This window comes from Homo sapiens, chromosome X, assembly GCF_000001405.40.
Source record: "Homo sapiens chromosome X, GRCh38.p14 Primary Assembly".
Classification (NCBI taxonomy): Eukaryota; Metazoa; Chordata; class Mammalia; order Primates; family Hominidae; genus Homo; species Homo sapiens.
The window spans coordinates 31123797-31138957 of NC_000023.11; the positions used below are offsets into that span (position 1 = coordinate 31123797).

Below are 15161 nucleotides of genomic sequence, written 5' to 3' on the forward strand. Positions count from 1 at the left end.
GCTAGAAAACATATTACAAAACATCAACGAAAAGGGGAGAAAACTCATTTTTTTTCCTGTCAGCTTATCGATAATCACAAAGTGTCTTTCTTTTTAGGCTGTGTGCTAGGGGATGTAGATGGCAGTTCAAAATATAATAAAACAAATAAATGCATTTATGGATTATATAGCCAAGTGGTGCTTCTCTTCCTTGAAATGGTGTTCAGTTACTAACTGGAAGGAAAATTCTTGAGTCTCTCAAGAAGCATAAGTTCTAGGGGTATCTGCTATTTAAAGATTTGCCAGGGAAAACAGGTTCATTATTCTTAATGTGCCATGCACACTCCGACAAAAAGTTGGGTGGCCTTTAACCGGTTTACACTGCTGCATTTTCACAAATGACCTTGTGGCCATCTTTGTGCTATAAAAATAAAGAACTTTTAGAGTCACCTCATCATCTATATTATGCCTTTGGTTACTTCACTAAATACCTGCTTTACCAGAATAAATAATTCTAATTTCTTTCCATGGAGTTTTTCATTAGATCCAGAAAAAAGAAGTCAATCTCTTTTTACAAACTACTGCCCTAAAGAATCATACTTTAATCCGTTGGAGGGGTAAGACTGCACTGTGACATGACTATAGAAAGTAGATTTGTATCCTAGTTCTATTATCCATGTGTGTAAGGCAGAGCATTCGGGAGGTCATTAATGTTACCTGACAGATTTTTCTAAAGTCAAAATTACAATCTCATACTATGAAGTATGAGAGGTACTGAAAAGCAGCCAGGATTCAGGCATTTGCAATCACCTTCAGGCACAAGGTGACAGAAAACTATGTCTATAGAAAGTATTGATTTAATCCATTCTTAAGGATTATTGAACACAAAGGCACTATGCCTTGAACATTAGGGCAGTTGTATGTTTTTCAAGTTGGCGCTAACTGCAACACATTTAGTCTCACACGTCACCACTGCCTGAGGGAATTGTTTTCCACAGCGATTGGAATTGAGACTTTCTGGCAAAGATCCAAGACCTCAATAGCAATCTGGTGCTCTATTTTTTAAAAATACAATTCCCAAATAAATTGTTAGCATTCAGTTGTCCAAAGGAAAGCCGGAATACTACAGGGAAATTTGCTTATCTTTTCTTCTCTATAATTTAATCTCTGAAAAAAATCTGCTTTACGTACATTTGGGATATTTTCATAGCATTAAAAAAGGTCATTATTGTTTTGATTCTTTGGCTTCTGGAAACTTGTCTGAACACCATACACCTCAGGTAGTCAAGTCTGCAAATGCCTATATAACTTCAATTACATGTGCTAGCCTTTTCTGAAATTCATTTGTGAGTGAAACATGTTTAAGGTGGTCAAAATTATGGTGCATTTTTCTACAAAAAGTTAAAATGAATAAATTTTAAGGGGCACTTACCATAAGAATGAACCCAAGAAGTCTCACATACGAAGTACATGAACCAGGCAAACCGTCAGGGGCATTCAATGCTTCACCAAGTCAGGTTTCCTCAATTTCTCCTCCCAGCCTACCATTCCCTCCCTGGCCCCACTGCCCAAAGCCTTGGAAGGAGGCACTGGCACAGACACACTGAAGAATCATTAAATTGATTAGACTTGTATGGCATGATGTTGGCAGAGTTTTCATTACGACTCCTGTGTTTAAATGAATCAGTGGTCTCTCCAGTCCATCCTGTTGCTAAGGAATCCAGAATCTTCTCATTTAAGAAGGACTCTCCACCCATCCAGCCTGTCTCCCAGAACACTGTCATCCCATGGGAGAGCTTTCCTTCTCTCCTCCTTCAGATTAAATTCTTGGTAAAGACAACCTTGATTTTACTTGGGCTGTCAGTTAACACTTTGTCATCCAACAGTCACTTAATTAGGTAATTCGATATTCAGACAATATTCCTGGTGGAATAGGAGTAAGAAGCATCTTTCACCGTAAAACCTGAAACCACATTCAGTGATAAGACTGCACCCTATCCCTTTCAACCCATAAATAGGCATTTTAAAAACCTCTCAAAACTCCAATATTTAATTTTTTAATCGAATTGGTTATTGTTCTGTGTGGCTTCAAATACCAAATAAAAAAGATCATCTTCTGAAGGGTACGTTGAGATGATGTAAGCCTTTCAAATGAGAGTTAAGAGTGTGGGTCTGGAGCCAGACTGCCTGGATCCAAATCCTTGGCTCTGTCACCTGGGACACACTGCTTACTCTCTCATTGACTCAGTCTCCTTATCTGTAAAACGGGGTTAATAAGAGTACCTACCTCACAGGTTTGTCATGAAGATGACATGATGAAAAAGATGGCAAGTGCTGAGAACAATGCTTGGCACACAGTAAGTGCTCAAAAAATGTTCGCTAAAATGGGAGAGAAAGAGCGTAGGAACCAAGAAAAAAGGAAACAAAAGCAAAATGAAGTCATCCCAGAAGAATAAAAACTAAGGGCGCTGGCAGAAAATGCTAAGGTCCTGGAAGTGGAAGAAAGCTTTATGACTCATCAGTTATGTTCAAGGCTAAATTTATTTTGAAGATTTTGTTAGTGTTGCAAATGGCAACAGATGATGAACGGCAGGATTCCAACCTAGGGACTACAAAGGATTGCCATTTTAAAGAGATTCTTGCTCCCAACCCCAGTCTTGTCGTCATGGTGATGACAACGGCAATGAACATTTGAGGAATGTTCCTCATGAGCTGCAAGTGGAGAGGTGACTACCATCCTTACATGATGACACAATGTGTAATACACACATGCGCGTGCACACACACAATTCTTACACAAACGCCAAACATAAAAAGCAGGATGAGACAGACAGAAGCCATGGCCGTGAGCCTGAATCTCACTAACCTCTCTCATTGGCTTTCCAGGGGTATTTCTTCCTTTAATAATAGAGAGAGGAAGAGGCAGAGATATCAGAAAGGGAAAAAAAACATGCATAAATATACAATTTCATACCAATTTGCTTCTTTTACCAAACAAATGTTGAGATGACCATTTATTCTCTGCTGGAAAAAAAAAAAAAAAAAAAAACAGAAACAAAAAACCCAAAAGACACATCTAGTCAAATAACCTTTACATACACTTAAGATCAGTGTAAACAGATAACATGATCCAGAAGACGTCATTTGTAAAATCCATAGAGTTCACGCATTAAACTGGATGAAAACTGGCACAGAATAGAAATCTGACAAATTGGGCATTGTTTTCAAGGACAACTCAAACTTAATGTTAAAAAAAGTCTCAGAATCTCTTCACTCTTGACAATCAGCACATTGAAACATAAACAGTAGTTGACTCTGTGTGCCCAAAGTCTGCACATCAAATGCAAGGTAGAACCCGACATAGAGGCTGGACTCCATCCTCTTGGGAGAATTTGTTCTATCTGATAGAAGCTGAGCATTTCCATGATGAAATTGGAGGCATTTGAGAAAACAGAAAGAACAGATGAGGGGAAGAGGTAAGTCCCAGTAATGGGCAAGCCACAGAGCCAGATCCAGGAATGAGCTTTCCACTTCCTCCCCAATTCAGCAAATATCAGGAGCCTTACGAGGCAATGGCTAAAGACCCACTGGCCTTGATTCATAGATTCCTACATCTGTATGCATTTATTTGTATTTCAAAAGTAGACTCTGATGAGAAAGTGTTCTATGATAAGTCATAATTGGACAGAAAAGTAGGGACTTCTGTCCATACATGTCAATAGCCTGTCTTGGGCATGCAATTTCCTTTAAAATCTTGGTTTTCAAACTGTTTTAACTATAGCAATGGGACATCTCCTAAAACAATCTTATATGGAATTCCAATATTTTGAGCAGTTCAAAGCAGAGCTGTGAGAGATCCTGTACAGCATCTCCCTTTCCCCTCCACCCATCATTCTCAGTGGCTCCAAGAAGACTAAAAACTCCCTGAAACAATTTGAGAACTACTAGTCTGGAATGAAGAGGTATGGAGCTACGACACCAATAGAAACCTTTCAAAACTCACTCAAGGTTAGGGTTCAAAACTTCTAGTATACATTTAAGGATAGTTTCTAAGTTTTTCTTCCCTCTCTCCTTCTCTTTCTTCCCTCCCTTTCTCCTTCTCTCCCTTCCTCTCTTCCTTCTGAATTTCCTACATGACTCAGCGATTTCTTAGGAGTATCAGATTTTCAGCTTGACCACGTAAGGGCCAGGTATTTAAGATGCTCCTCAAGCCAGGGAAAAGAGGGAGAAAAATGGGTACTAGCTCCTCAGCTGTGGGTGTCACTAGTGGGAGATCCATACCAAATGATGTTCCCATCATTTGGGGAGGAGAACATCATTCTTTCCTTGATGGCTGAAATCCCAGTATGAATCACTCACCCCTTCTTTTTGATTCCTTTAGCAAGGTTTTTTTAAAAAAGTATCTTTATGTTTCATAATACTGTCTGGTGGCAGAATTAATTCCCTTCCCCTGTAAGACTATAAGCCTCTTGAGGACGGGGTCCACATGTTGCTCATCCACCTCTCTATGCCCAATGCCCTGTACCGTATATACACACTTTTGGTATTTGATAAATACTGGCTGAAGTGAATTGGTAAAGTAGTAGTTGGGTCATGACCAAGAGGAGTCCTTCTGTGTTATAAGTAACTTGCCCTTCACTGGCACACTTTAGTTTGGATGCCAAAGGTGGGTAACTTGTTTCGGCATGTAACTTTGGTCTAGTTTTGAAAACTTGAGATCTTTAGGAAGGACAGTGTTGTTAGAAAGCCATGTGATTTAGAATGTAATTATGGTTATGTACTTCAGAATGTAACGATGATTCTTTGAATGCTTAATGATACATATCTTTAGTAATTCTACACTAAGCCATATTCAGAACTCAGTTATCAATTGATTATTTCTTAATATGTAGCAGCAAATGACTTGTGTTATGTTCCAGATCCTTCTTCAGAAACCATATTTTATGAAAATGGACCTCCCAGAGCCAAGCTAACTCTAATCTCTTCTAAAATCCTCCCTCATCACTTGGGTCCCCACGTACTCATTAACACATTACAAAAGGAAGGTCCTTTTTTTCACTTTAGAAAAAGTTAAAAACAAATGATATTTTCTACTGTAAAAGGACTAGTTCTACGCTGACAAAACAGAGGCTACTTGATTACAACATTTTTAAAAGTTCTTGACCGATAAATAAAGTTTCAGATATGTTTCATTTTCTAAACATTTATTTTTTTTTGGAAATGAGTTTCTGTAGACCTTCAGTTACAGTGTCCATCTGGCAATGTGATGTGTTGTCAGGAAATGAATCAAGACAAAAGGGAAGTGTGCTGGGGCAGTCCTGAGTCTAAATAAAGGGCTTGGTCAGGTCCCGAGAAGTCTAATTTCCTCGGGCACTATAAAATTGACATTATTGATTGTAATTCATTATTTTAGAGTTGGAATTGCAGGACAGTACTGTTTCTGGGTGCTTTTAGCCTCTTTTATATTAATTCACTGACTATTTAAAATACTTAAGGAAGAATAAGTCCCTTTTTAGGATTTCTGTTATTTTATAAGTCAAAAAAATTCAAATGGCCACACTTGCAGGCTCTTTGGTGAATATGAATATAAATCTATAAATCAATTCAATTTCAGCTCAATAATCTTGTTCAGCTGAAAGTTGATCAGCACAGAAGCCTGTGACTCTATACATGTAATGAGTCAGAATGGACAACGAAATAATAGCGTAAAGCAGGGATTGGCAAATTTTCCCCATAAAGGGCCAGATAGTAAATATTTCAGGCTTTGCAAGCCCACGGTCTCTGGACCAGCTATTCAGCACTGCTGCAACTACTCTGCCCTGGTAATGAGAAAGCAACTATAGGCAACATGTAAATGAATGGGTATGGCTGTGTTCCAATAAAGCTTTATAAAAACAGGTATTGGGCCAGATTTGGCATTTGGGCTGTATGTAGTTTGCTAGTCCTGGATTAAAGGGATAACCGCTCAAATCCTTTGTGGGAGCATACAGGAAACAGAATGGTGCCTGAAAAAGGGCACACCATATTTCTATCTGCCTTTGTTCTTTATGTTGCTCTTCCATAAAAGAACCACAGAATAAGATTTTAATTTTAAAAGACGGTAGGTTTTACAAAGCTGTTGGGTTGGTAATTTAGGGGTATTTGATAGAATGTACGCGGGCTTATTTGAGAGGGGATGGTATGAAAAAAAGAGGATGGCATGGGCTGGTGGAGATAATGTGGCACAGGTCAGTAGGCAAGAGATTGTACAGGTAGCAGAAATAGTAGCACTGCTAACTGCTTTCTGGATTGTTTTACTGCATTAAGAGCTTATCTTGGCTCCTATTATTCATTCATCTATATAAAGTGGTACCACATTTTAGAGAGCCTAATACCATACTACTGACTAGGAGAGCGTTTCTTTCATCAATGCACATACATATAAAAATATCTTTGTTAGTCTGCTAAATGATCAGAGACTTATGGACAAATCACTTAATGGGGTTATTTTTTAAATTACGTTTGTTTATTGTACCCATGTAGTTTTCCTATAGAATGGCAGAGCTTTAGAGAGTACCTTATAGTAAAGTAGATAATGACTTATTACACTATAATTCAATTTCTACACATATACTTACAAAGGAAGAGATTAGAGATAGACAGATTAGATAGAAATTGGCTAATATTCAGTGTTCAAATATACACTGAGCCACTCAAATCTCCCAAGTGTTTGTGAACAACTAAGTATATCTAGAGACCAACCAGAAAGATATAATCACAAAGCTGAATGTTTACACATTCATATCTTGAATATGCTCCTGCTTATATTGCCTATTATGCAGGATAGTGTTGGCCATCGGTTTATCACTAAATGGAGAAGCATGCCACTCATTTATTAATTTTGATAACAGTTTAGCAAAGCCATTAAGATAAGATTAGAAGCCTAACTTAACCTGCTGAATGGCCATAAATAAGGCACTTGACTTTTCTTGGCTTCCAGGTACTCTTTGTGAAAATAAAAGATAAAGAAAGGTTAGCTGACACCTTCAGGACCAACTCTGTGGCAAGGGGCAACAGAAAAGTTGTAAATTTGAGGTACATAATAGCTTACCTATCTATATACTTTATGTTTATGAAGAGCATAAGTTTTTTAAAAACGGCTTTTCCTCTGTGGGCAATTATCTAGCAGGGTTAAGTAAACCACGCGGTGGTATTTAATAGCACATTTCCACTAAATGTCAGACCTCTGGCTCTCACATCTGTTTTGAGTTACTCAAACAGCTGTCCAAAACAGCTGTAGCAATCATGAACTTTGTTTTTTGTAACACAACAATGAGAACATGGATGGTAGTGTTAGAATAAAACTATAAAGGTCTCTGAGACATTAGCAACGTCTTGGCAGAAACTTCCACGGCAAAAATCTCAAAATTTAAATTTTTTTGAAAGATAATTCAACCAGGCAAGAAAAACTGAGATCACATAGATTAGTATTTTTAAACCACTGGTTCAGAAAATCCATTTAGTGGGTTGCAACCAGCATTTTGTTTTTAAATAAATAAAATAGAAAAACAGCATGCACTGTATGTAGTATGGAAGGCATCACTTGATGAAACTTTTGTTTCTGATCTTTGTATGCATATGACACTGTAAATGTGTGTGTGTACATATGGTGGGTGTATATATACATGTGTGTACATAAACACATGTACAATTTATTTTATATCTTTACCCCAGTTTGTGATGTAAAATGTTCCTCTGATATGGATAACCATCAAAACAGAGTCAGAAATCACTGTCCTGGATGTCAAAAGTGTTAAAATGACCTTTCAAGGCTCTTCCATTTGAAAGACTTTGTAATCCCAAGATGTTAAGATTCTCAAGAATTTCTGCTTAATATCAGCTGAACACATCTACCAACTGGTAAGATGTTCCCGCCAAACTTGACGGTATATGTGTGTGTACACACACATATGCCATTTTTCAAAATTAAAAAACAAAAGTGCTTTTAGTTGGAAAGAAAGCATCCAAAAACCACTTTTTTGAGTGCATCAATAATTAGCCTAATTTTTACAATAATGAAACTTTTTATCCACTTGAATTTGGGGAGAAAAAGGCCTGTAAGAAAGCCTGAGTTAGCTGAAAGTAGCAAAACGTGAGGAAATGCCAAGATCATGGTATTACAGAATGATAGGCCAGATTTTCCAATACCTTAGCTACTCTCTTGTGTTTTTTGTGTATTTAATTGTTTTGTTTTTTAAGAATGTGAATTTATTTTCTCAGGCCACAAGGGTACCACTGAGTAAGCCGGAACTTAAGTTAATGGAATTGGTATCGGACAAGGCTTCCTTCTCCCACATTTGAGAACTTAAATCAGCCCTTAAGGCCTGAAATTCTTCCGTAAGCACTAATTTAGTAAACACTATCCAGGTGGCCTGAATTGAGTTTCCCAAGTTTCCATACAAGTAAGTAAATCAACATCAGAGATACTGACTGCTAAATACCATATCAGAGGAGGTATATTTCTTGTCTTCCAGGAAGCTTCTACACCCATGTGGTATCTAGCTTTAAGGACTCTAAAAGCGGGACACAGGGAGATGGTGCAAAGGATTTCACCTTACAGCTAATTAGGGTGGACCAGAAACTCAGGTACAAAAAGGAGTCTAGGAAGTCAAGGCTGCCTATGAAGAAGCAGAGTCATGAGCCTTGCTGTAGCTTCTTCTCTACTAACCTCTTGTTTAGATGTGGAAGAAATGCCCAGGGTGCCAACAGGGCAGCCAGCAACTTTCCAGAGCAGGTAAGCAAGCTGCCAGTTCAAGGGGCCAGGATCATACAGTAATCAATGATTGTACTGTGATTTGAATTTCTTTGGAGTTCTGTATCTGCAATTGACCATAAGTACCTTGAAGGCAAGGAATTTGTCATTTCTTCTTTCCATCCCTACTACCTCCACTGGTACGTAGTAGGTGCTAGTAAAAGCAAGCAGGACAAAGTAATGAGGAGACACGTGAAAGCACCTGATTCTGTCAAGCCTGTGTATGATCTTCTCATTATGAATTATGACATCTAGAAGAAGGAGATACCTAAGATAGTCAGAATGGGGATGCGGGTGGCGGTGGGGGATGTGGAGGTGGGTGGAAGACAGATAAGATTTTTATCTGTTAAAATCATCACTTCAGTGGCGCTCAGCAGTGAAAAGATGGCTGGTGCAGACATTTAAAATTAGCTTCCCCTGACGGTTCCTTAGCAACGCTCTACCAGAACATTATTGCTTTTAATGTGCACTGCACAACGTTTACTTGCACATCAAATAGCTAGGAAATGGCCATTGTTAACTGACACTGAACAAAAAGATAGGAAAAACACACTACTCAATACACCCTCCTCATTGCCCTTATGGAGAGGAACAAACAGCCCAGATTTCCTGCTGCCCGTCCCTCCCAGGCTACCCATTAGAGGTGCCAATCACTGGCCACAAAGCCTTGTGTTTTCTCCCTTTTGTTTCTCTAGGCTTTTCTTCTATTTGATCACAGGTGACTGCCACCATCCTTTTTATTCGTTGAAGGAAGGCGAGAGAGTGACTTTGTTTTATGTGAGGGCAATAAACCAAATAAATGCCCCCAGAAACGAACAGTAGCAGCAAAACATCATCTTGGATGAAGCAAGACATCTGAAGCTCATGCAAGCCAGTGGGAAAATTCTGCAGGGTAAAATGCTGTTTTTGTATGGGGGTAAAATACGCAAGGCCAAAGTGATGAAGAAAAAGAAAAATATTAATGTCTTTCTTTGCTAAGCCTGTATTTCCTCTATCGAAGTAAAAAATAACCAACTACTCTATGAAGATTTAATTGTCCCTATATTTAAATGATGGAGTAAGATACAATTTTTAAATATAAAGGGCATCAGATGGCAAGTCAGAATCTCTACCACTACCAATCAGTAGGCATTGTTCTAGGCCTTGCTGTAGCACGTAGTAGCCATATGTCCCTGGCAAAGGCACTATCAGGGCATTAATTTCCTCATCTGTAAAAGTCACATAATAATTGCTCTTCAGTAAAGGGCACCTCATAATTAACTCTTCAGACTAATGTGTGAAGCAAGTAAAATACTTGACAAATAGAGGGTGGTATTCTTATTTTTGGAAACATGTTGCCCTCACGGGTATTTGAATTCAGAGTACTCTAAACCACAAATTCACACTTAAAAATCAAATCTTTTCACCATGGACCCAAATTGCCATTCTGATACTGCGTGTTGGCTTCCATATGGAAAATACACACACCAGTTGGGTAGGGAAGCGAGTGGCCTGATCCCAGCAAATCTGAGTCCCTTCTAGGTATTGGAGCTTACCTCTTGAACTAGGGAAGGAGTTGTTGAGTTGCTCCATCACCTCCTCTAACCCTGTGCTTGTGTCCTGGGGAGGACTGAGAAGATCTTCCTCACCTTAATAAAAGCAAAAACAAATAATGGAAAATTACATTTATAGAAAACAGATATTAAAGGGCCATGATTACATTTTTAACACCATTATAAATTCATTTCACTTGCTCATAAATAACAAAGAAAACCCTCAAGCTTAATAATGAGGAAGTAATTCTTTAAAGGGAAGAAGAAATCCATACAGTAGTTTATCTATATCATTACCCTTGGAGAAAAAAAAACTGTATATCTTTTTTTTTTTTTTTTTTTGAGATGGAGTCTTGCTCTGTCACCCAGGCTGGAGTGCAGTGGCACGATCTTGGCTCACTGCAACCTCCGCCTCCCAGGTTCAAACGATTCTTCTGCCTCAGCCTCCCGAGTAGCTGGGACTACAGGCATGCGCCAACACGTCCAGCTAATTTTTGTATTTTTAGTAGAGACAGGGTTTCACCATATTGGCCAGGCTGGTCTCGAACTCCTGACCTCATGATCTGCCCACCTCAGCCTCCCAAAGTGCTGGGATTACAGGCGTGAGCCAACACGCCCAGCCTACTGCGTATCTTTTTAAAAGTTGACTAGTTACTTGAAATGTGCCCCGCACATAGAAATGATAAATACATGAGATAATGAATACTCTAAATACCCTGACTTGATCATTAACACATTCTGTGTATGCAACAAAATATCAAATGCACTCCATAAATATGTACAAATATTATACTACAGTAAAAAACAGGCTGGGTGCGGTCGCTCATGCCTGTAATCCCAGCCCTTTGGGAAGCCGAGGTGGGAGGATTGTTTGCTGCCAGGAATTTGAGAGCAGCTTGGGCAACATAGTGAGACCCTGTCTCTATTTAAAAACAAAAAAACAAAAAAACAAAAAATAAATTTAAAAGTTAAAAAGAATAAAAGAAAAAGTCAATTGAAAAAGGTAAAACTGACAAGCTCTCTTTTGTGCCCCATTCACAAATGTGAAACTTTGTTCTATGTAATAAAATAAGTATTACTGCACACTTGCAGTGCTGTCTCCTCAACACAAAAGAGTAAGAATTGAACACTTTGCAGTCACTTCATGAAGGTAAGAAGGGAGTTGAGACACTGAGGTCTTTTTTTCACTCTTTGTTTTGACATTTAACCAAAAATACAAACGAAACTCAAGTACCTTTAAACTCCAATGTAATAGAAATAAAAATAGTATATATCCTATATAGGTAATGAAATATGAATATTCTAAAAACTGTAGATATGGCATATATTGGAGAGTTATGGTCCTTTCCTCTGTTACTTGGGACTACTTTATCATAATTATGTTTTGGGTTTTATAAAGAAGACATTACAAACATTTTGACTGTTTATGTGAGGAGAGAATGATGATCTGGAAGCAAAGAAACCTATGGATGGATGATATTCACTGGGAATGGAAATCTCCTTGTAGATTTTGTGAATCTGTGTCTGTATTGTTTGTTCATGTGTTAAAGAAATACACTTCAAACAGCATTTGCAAGTTAAAGGGAAATTTCTTAGGTGCAAACAAAATTAAACTTTAAAGGTCCTTTGAAACTAACTTTTCATAATATACAATCTTCCAATAGTGAAAATAACTTCTATTCAAGCTCTGTTTGTTTTGCACATTGTCACTTCCATCTAAAACAAGACCTTGCTTTAGCAAGTCAACCATAATGAACTTAATTAGGGACAACCTCAGGTTTACATCTGACTTGGAACTGCTTCGGAAGCCAGTGACTAAATGACTTAAATATGCTTCTCATTCCCTTTGGTCTATGCCACTTGGATTTTCATGTTTGATTAGAATCCTGCATTTATTCCTTTTTTTTTTTTTAACAGCAGAAGCTAAAAGAATCATTGCCAATGCTAACCATTAAGACAAAATCATATTCTAGGTGGATGTGAGGCTTCATATTTTTATTAGAATGGAGGGATAAGAACGTAAGGTAGATAAAAAGCCTCAGACTACATGAGTCTCCTGGTAACATACCACAGGAAACCTCTTTGCAATATTAAGTACAGGAAATGGGTGCTGAAGAATTAAGGTCACAAAGCAGAAAAGGAATAGTTACAAACTCTCTCTCTCCTCTTTCTCTCTCTCTTCCTCCCCCCTCACACACATGCACTATTTGCTTAAGTTTATGCCTTTAGAAAAAGAAGTGAAATTCACTATTTTTAGTTTCATTTTTCTTGCGGTTTTAAACTACCATTATCTGGTGAAGATGAAATGAATGAAATACTACCAAGAGGATCAAGATCCTGACAACTGCAGGGCTGATTACATCTCTCTGTTTCATTACTGATGCAAATTTTTGCGGAACTGGGAAACATGAGGCATTTTTAATGGCAGTAAGTCCACTTCAGTGACAGTATGCCTCACTGAATAAATCAGAACCAAGAGAACATCATGAACGACGCTCATGAACATCGATGTTAATATTTCTGACAGTTTAATTACATCATATTGGAGCTCTAGGAACTCAATTGTACTGTGTTAAAATTCAGGTACAGTTCAATGAAGTGACTGGCATTCCTGTTCCTGAATTATTTCAAAGATCAAATTATAAAGTATAAACCTAATGATGTCAGCCAAGTTTATTTTTCCAGATAAACTCTCTGTGAGTCTTTAATATGAGTGTCCAAGTATAATACAAATGTAAAATTGGCTTCTTTGCTTTAATGGAAAACTTTTAAGGCAGTGATAATTGTATCCATTCAGACATTTTTTTGAGTGCCTATTACATTCTAGGTAGTATAAAAACAAGTAGAGTATAATCTTGTTTTCTTCTTTTCTCCATATTTTCATGATTTCTCAAGATGGTTTTAATGCATTGCTTTTTTTCTCTTTTTCTTTTTTTTTGAGATGGAGTCTTGCTCTGTCACCCAGGCTGGAGTGCAGTGGTGGAATCTCGGCTAGCTGCAACCTCTGCCTTCCGGGTTCAAGTGATTCTCCTGCCTCAGCCTCCTGAGTAGCTGGGACTACAGGCGCGTGCCACCACGCCTGGCTAATTTTTTATATTTTTTAGTAGAGACAGGGTTTCACCGTGTTAGCCAGAATAGTCTCAATCTCCTGACCTCGTGATCCACCTGCCTCGGCCTCCCAAAGTGCTGGGATTACAGGCGTGAGCCACCACGCCCAGGCTCATCTCTTTTTAAGAATCGAAATCAGACATCACATATGTGCATGAGTAGAAGTGAATCAACTCATTGAAAAATGCTTAATGCCTAATATTTTCTGTGTCAGAATATATTGTAAAAGTTAAAACAGCTAAATGAAACCTGAAGTTAAAGTAATACCATTGTAATATTTGATACTAACCCAGATTTTTAAAATGCCTTTTAAAAACCACAAAAGTTTAAAAACAGTAAGATTCATTTATTTATTCAAATATTTATTAAAATCCAACTATATATGCCAGGCACTGTTCAAATGGTTGAACAGTGCCTGGCATATTGTTCACTGAAGATATAGCAATAAGCAAACAAACCCCACCCACACACTCTCTCTGTGAAACTCGCATTCATAAGGAGGCACACAGGCTTAACAAGTAAATAAGTAAACTATATAGGTATCTTGAGTGGTGATGAACACTCTGAGGAGAGGGCTAGCAAGGGACAATGAGAGTCATCAGAAAGTGGAGTCTTGGAAGTCCTCATTGATGAGATGCAGTTGAGCAAAAGCTTTAAGAACTGGAGGGTATGAGTTGCACAAGTATTTGAGGGAAAAGTGCTCCAGACAGAAGGATTGGCAAATGCAAAGACTCTGAGAGGAGAGTGTGACTGGCTTCCTCAAGCACAGCAAGAAGTCTAATGTAGATAAAGCAGAGTGAACAAGAGCTGGGAAAACAGTACTTCCCTGGCCTGGGGATTCGGATTTGGCCACATAACCTGCTTTGGAAAATGGAATGTAAGCGGGCATGACAAAAGTAGAGGCTTAGAATGTCTTTGACTGGTTGGGGTTGCCCGCTTGTGTTTATGTGCACAAGAAGCATATGGCCCAGGTAGCTTGCTAGCCCAAGAAGGATGAGAGACATGTTGAACAGACCTGAACCCAAACCACAACTTGGTGTCAAGTCCAGCTGATTGCCAGCAAAAGTTCAGCCAAACAACAGATGCGTGAATGAGAAATATGCAACTTGAGAATTTTGTGGTTATTTGTTATGCAGCAACAGCTGACTGATACACTATTATGGGCATGAAACAAGCCAGATATAATATTTATGGCTTGTCTAATCATACACTATGTAGCTACAACATAATAGGTGTATTAATCCATTTTCACACTGCTATAGAGATACTACCTGAGACTGGGTAATTTATAAAGGAAAGAGGTTTAATTGACTCACAGTTCCAGATGCGTGAGGAGGCCTCAGGAGGCCTCATGATTATAAGTTTAGAATCATGGTGGAAGGCAAAGGGGAAGCAAGGCACCTCTTACATGGCAGCAGGAGAGAGAGAGAGAGAGAGAGAGAGAGAGAGAGAGAGAGAGAGAGAGAGAGAGAGAGAGAGAGAAGGGGGAAGTGCCACACACTTTAAAAACCATCAGCTCTCCTGAGAACTCACTCACTATCACGAGAACAGCATGGGGGAAAACTTCTTCATGATCCAGTCACCTCCCATCAGGTCCCTCCCCTGACACGTGGGGATTACAATTTGAGATGAGATTTAGGTGGGAACACAGAGCCAAACCATATTAATAGGCAACCTCAAAATATTTCTGACTCTAACAATAATACCTGTCATCACAAGCCCCTCATCACCAAAAACAAAAACACCTTTTC

The 15161-nt window shown here is 38.5% G+C and overlaps 1 protein-coding gene across 24 annotated transcripts in view; it reads right to left on the reverse strand.

The window, feature by feature from the left end:
* The window catches only part of DMD (dystrophin), a 2220167-nt gene that overhangs the window by 4575 nt on the left and 2200431 nt on the right, over window positions 1-15161 (reverse strand). For 13 of the 24 annotated variants that reach the window (NM_000109.4, XM_006724475.3, XM_017029328.2 and 10 more), the window contains 2 exon segments: window positions 10306-10398; window positions 2846-2877 (listed from right to left, as the gene is read on the reverse strand). In NM_000109.4, the coding sequence (NP_000100.3) occupies window positions 2846-2877; window positions 10306-10398 (125 nt within the window). 24 annotated transcript variants of the gene reach the window in all.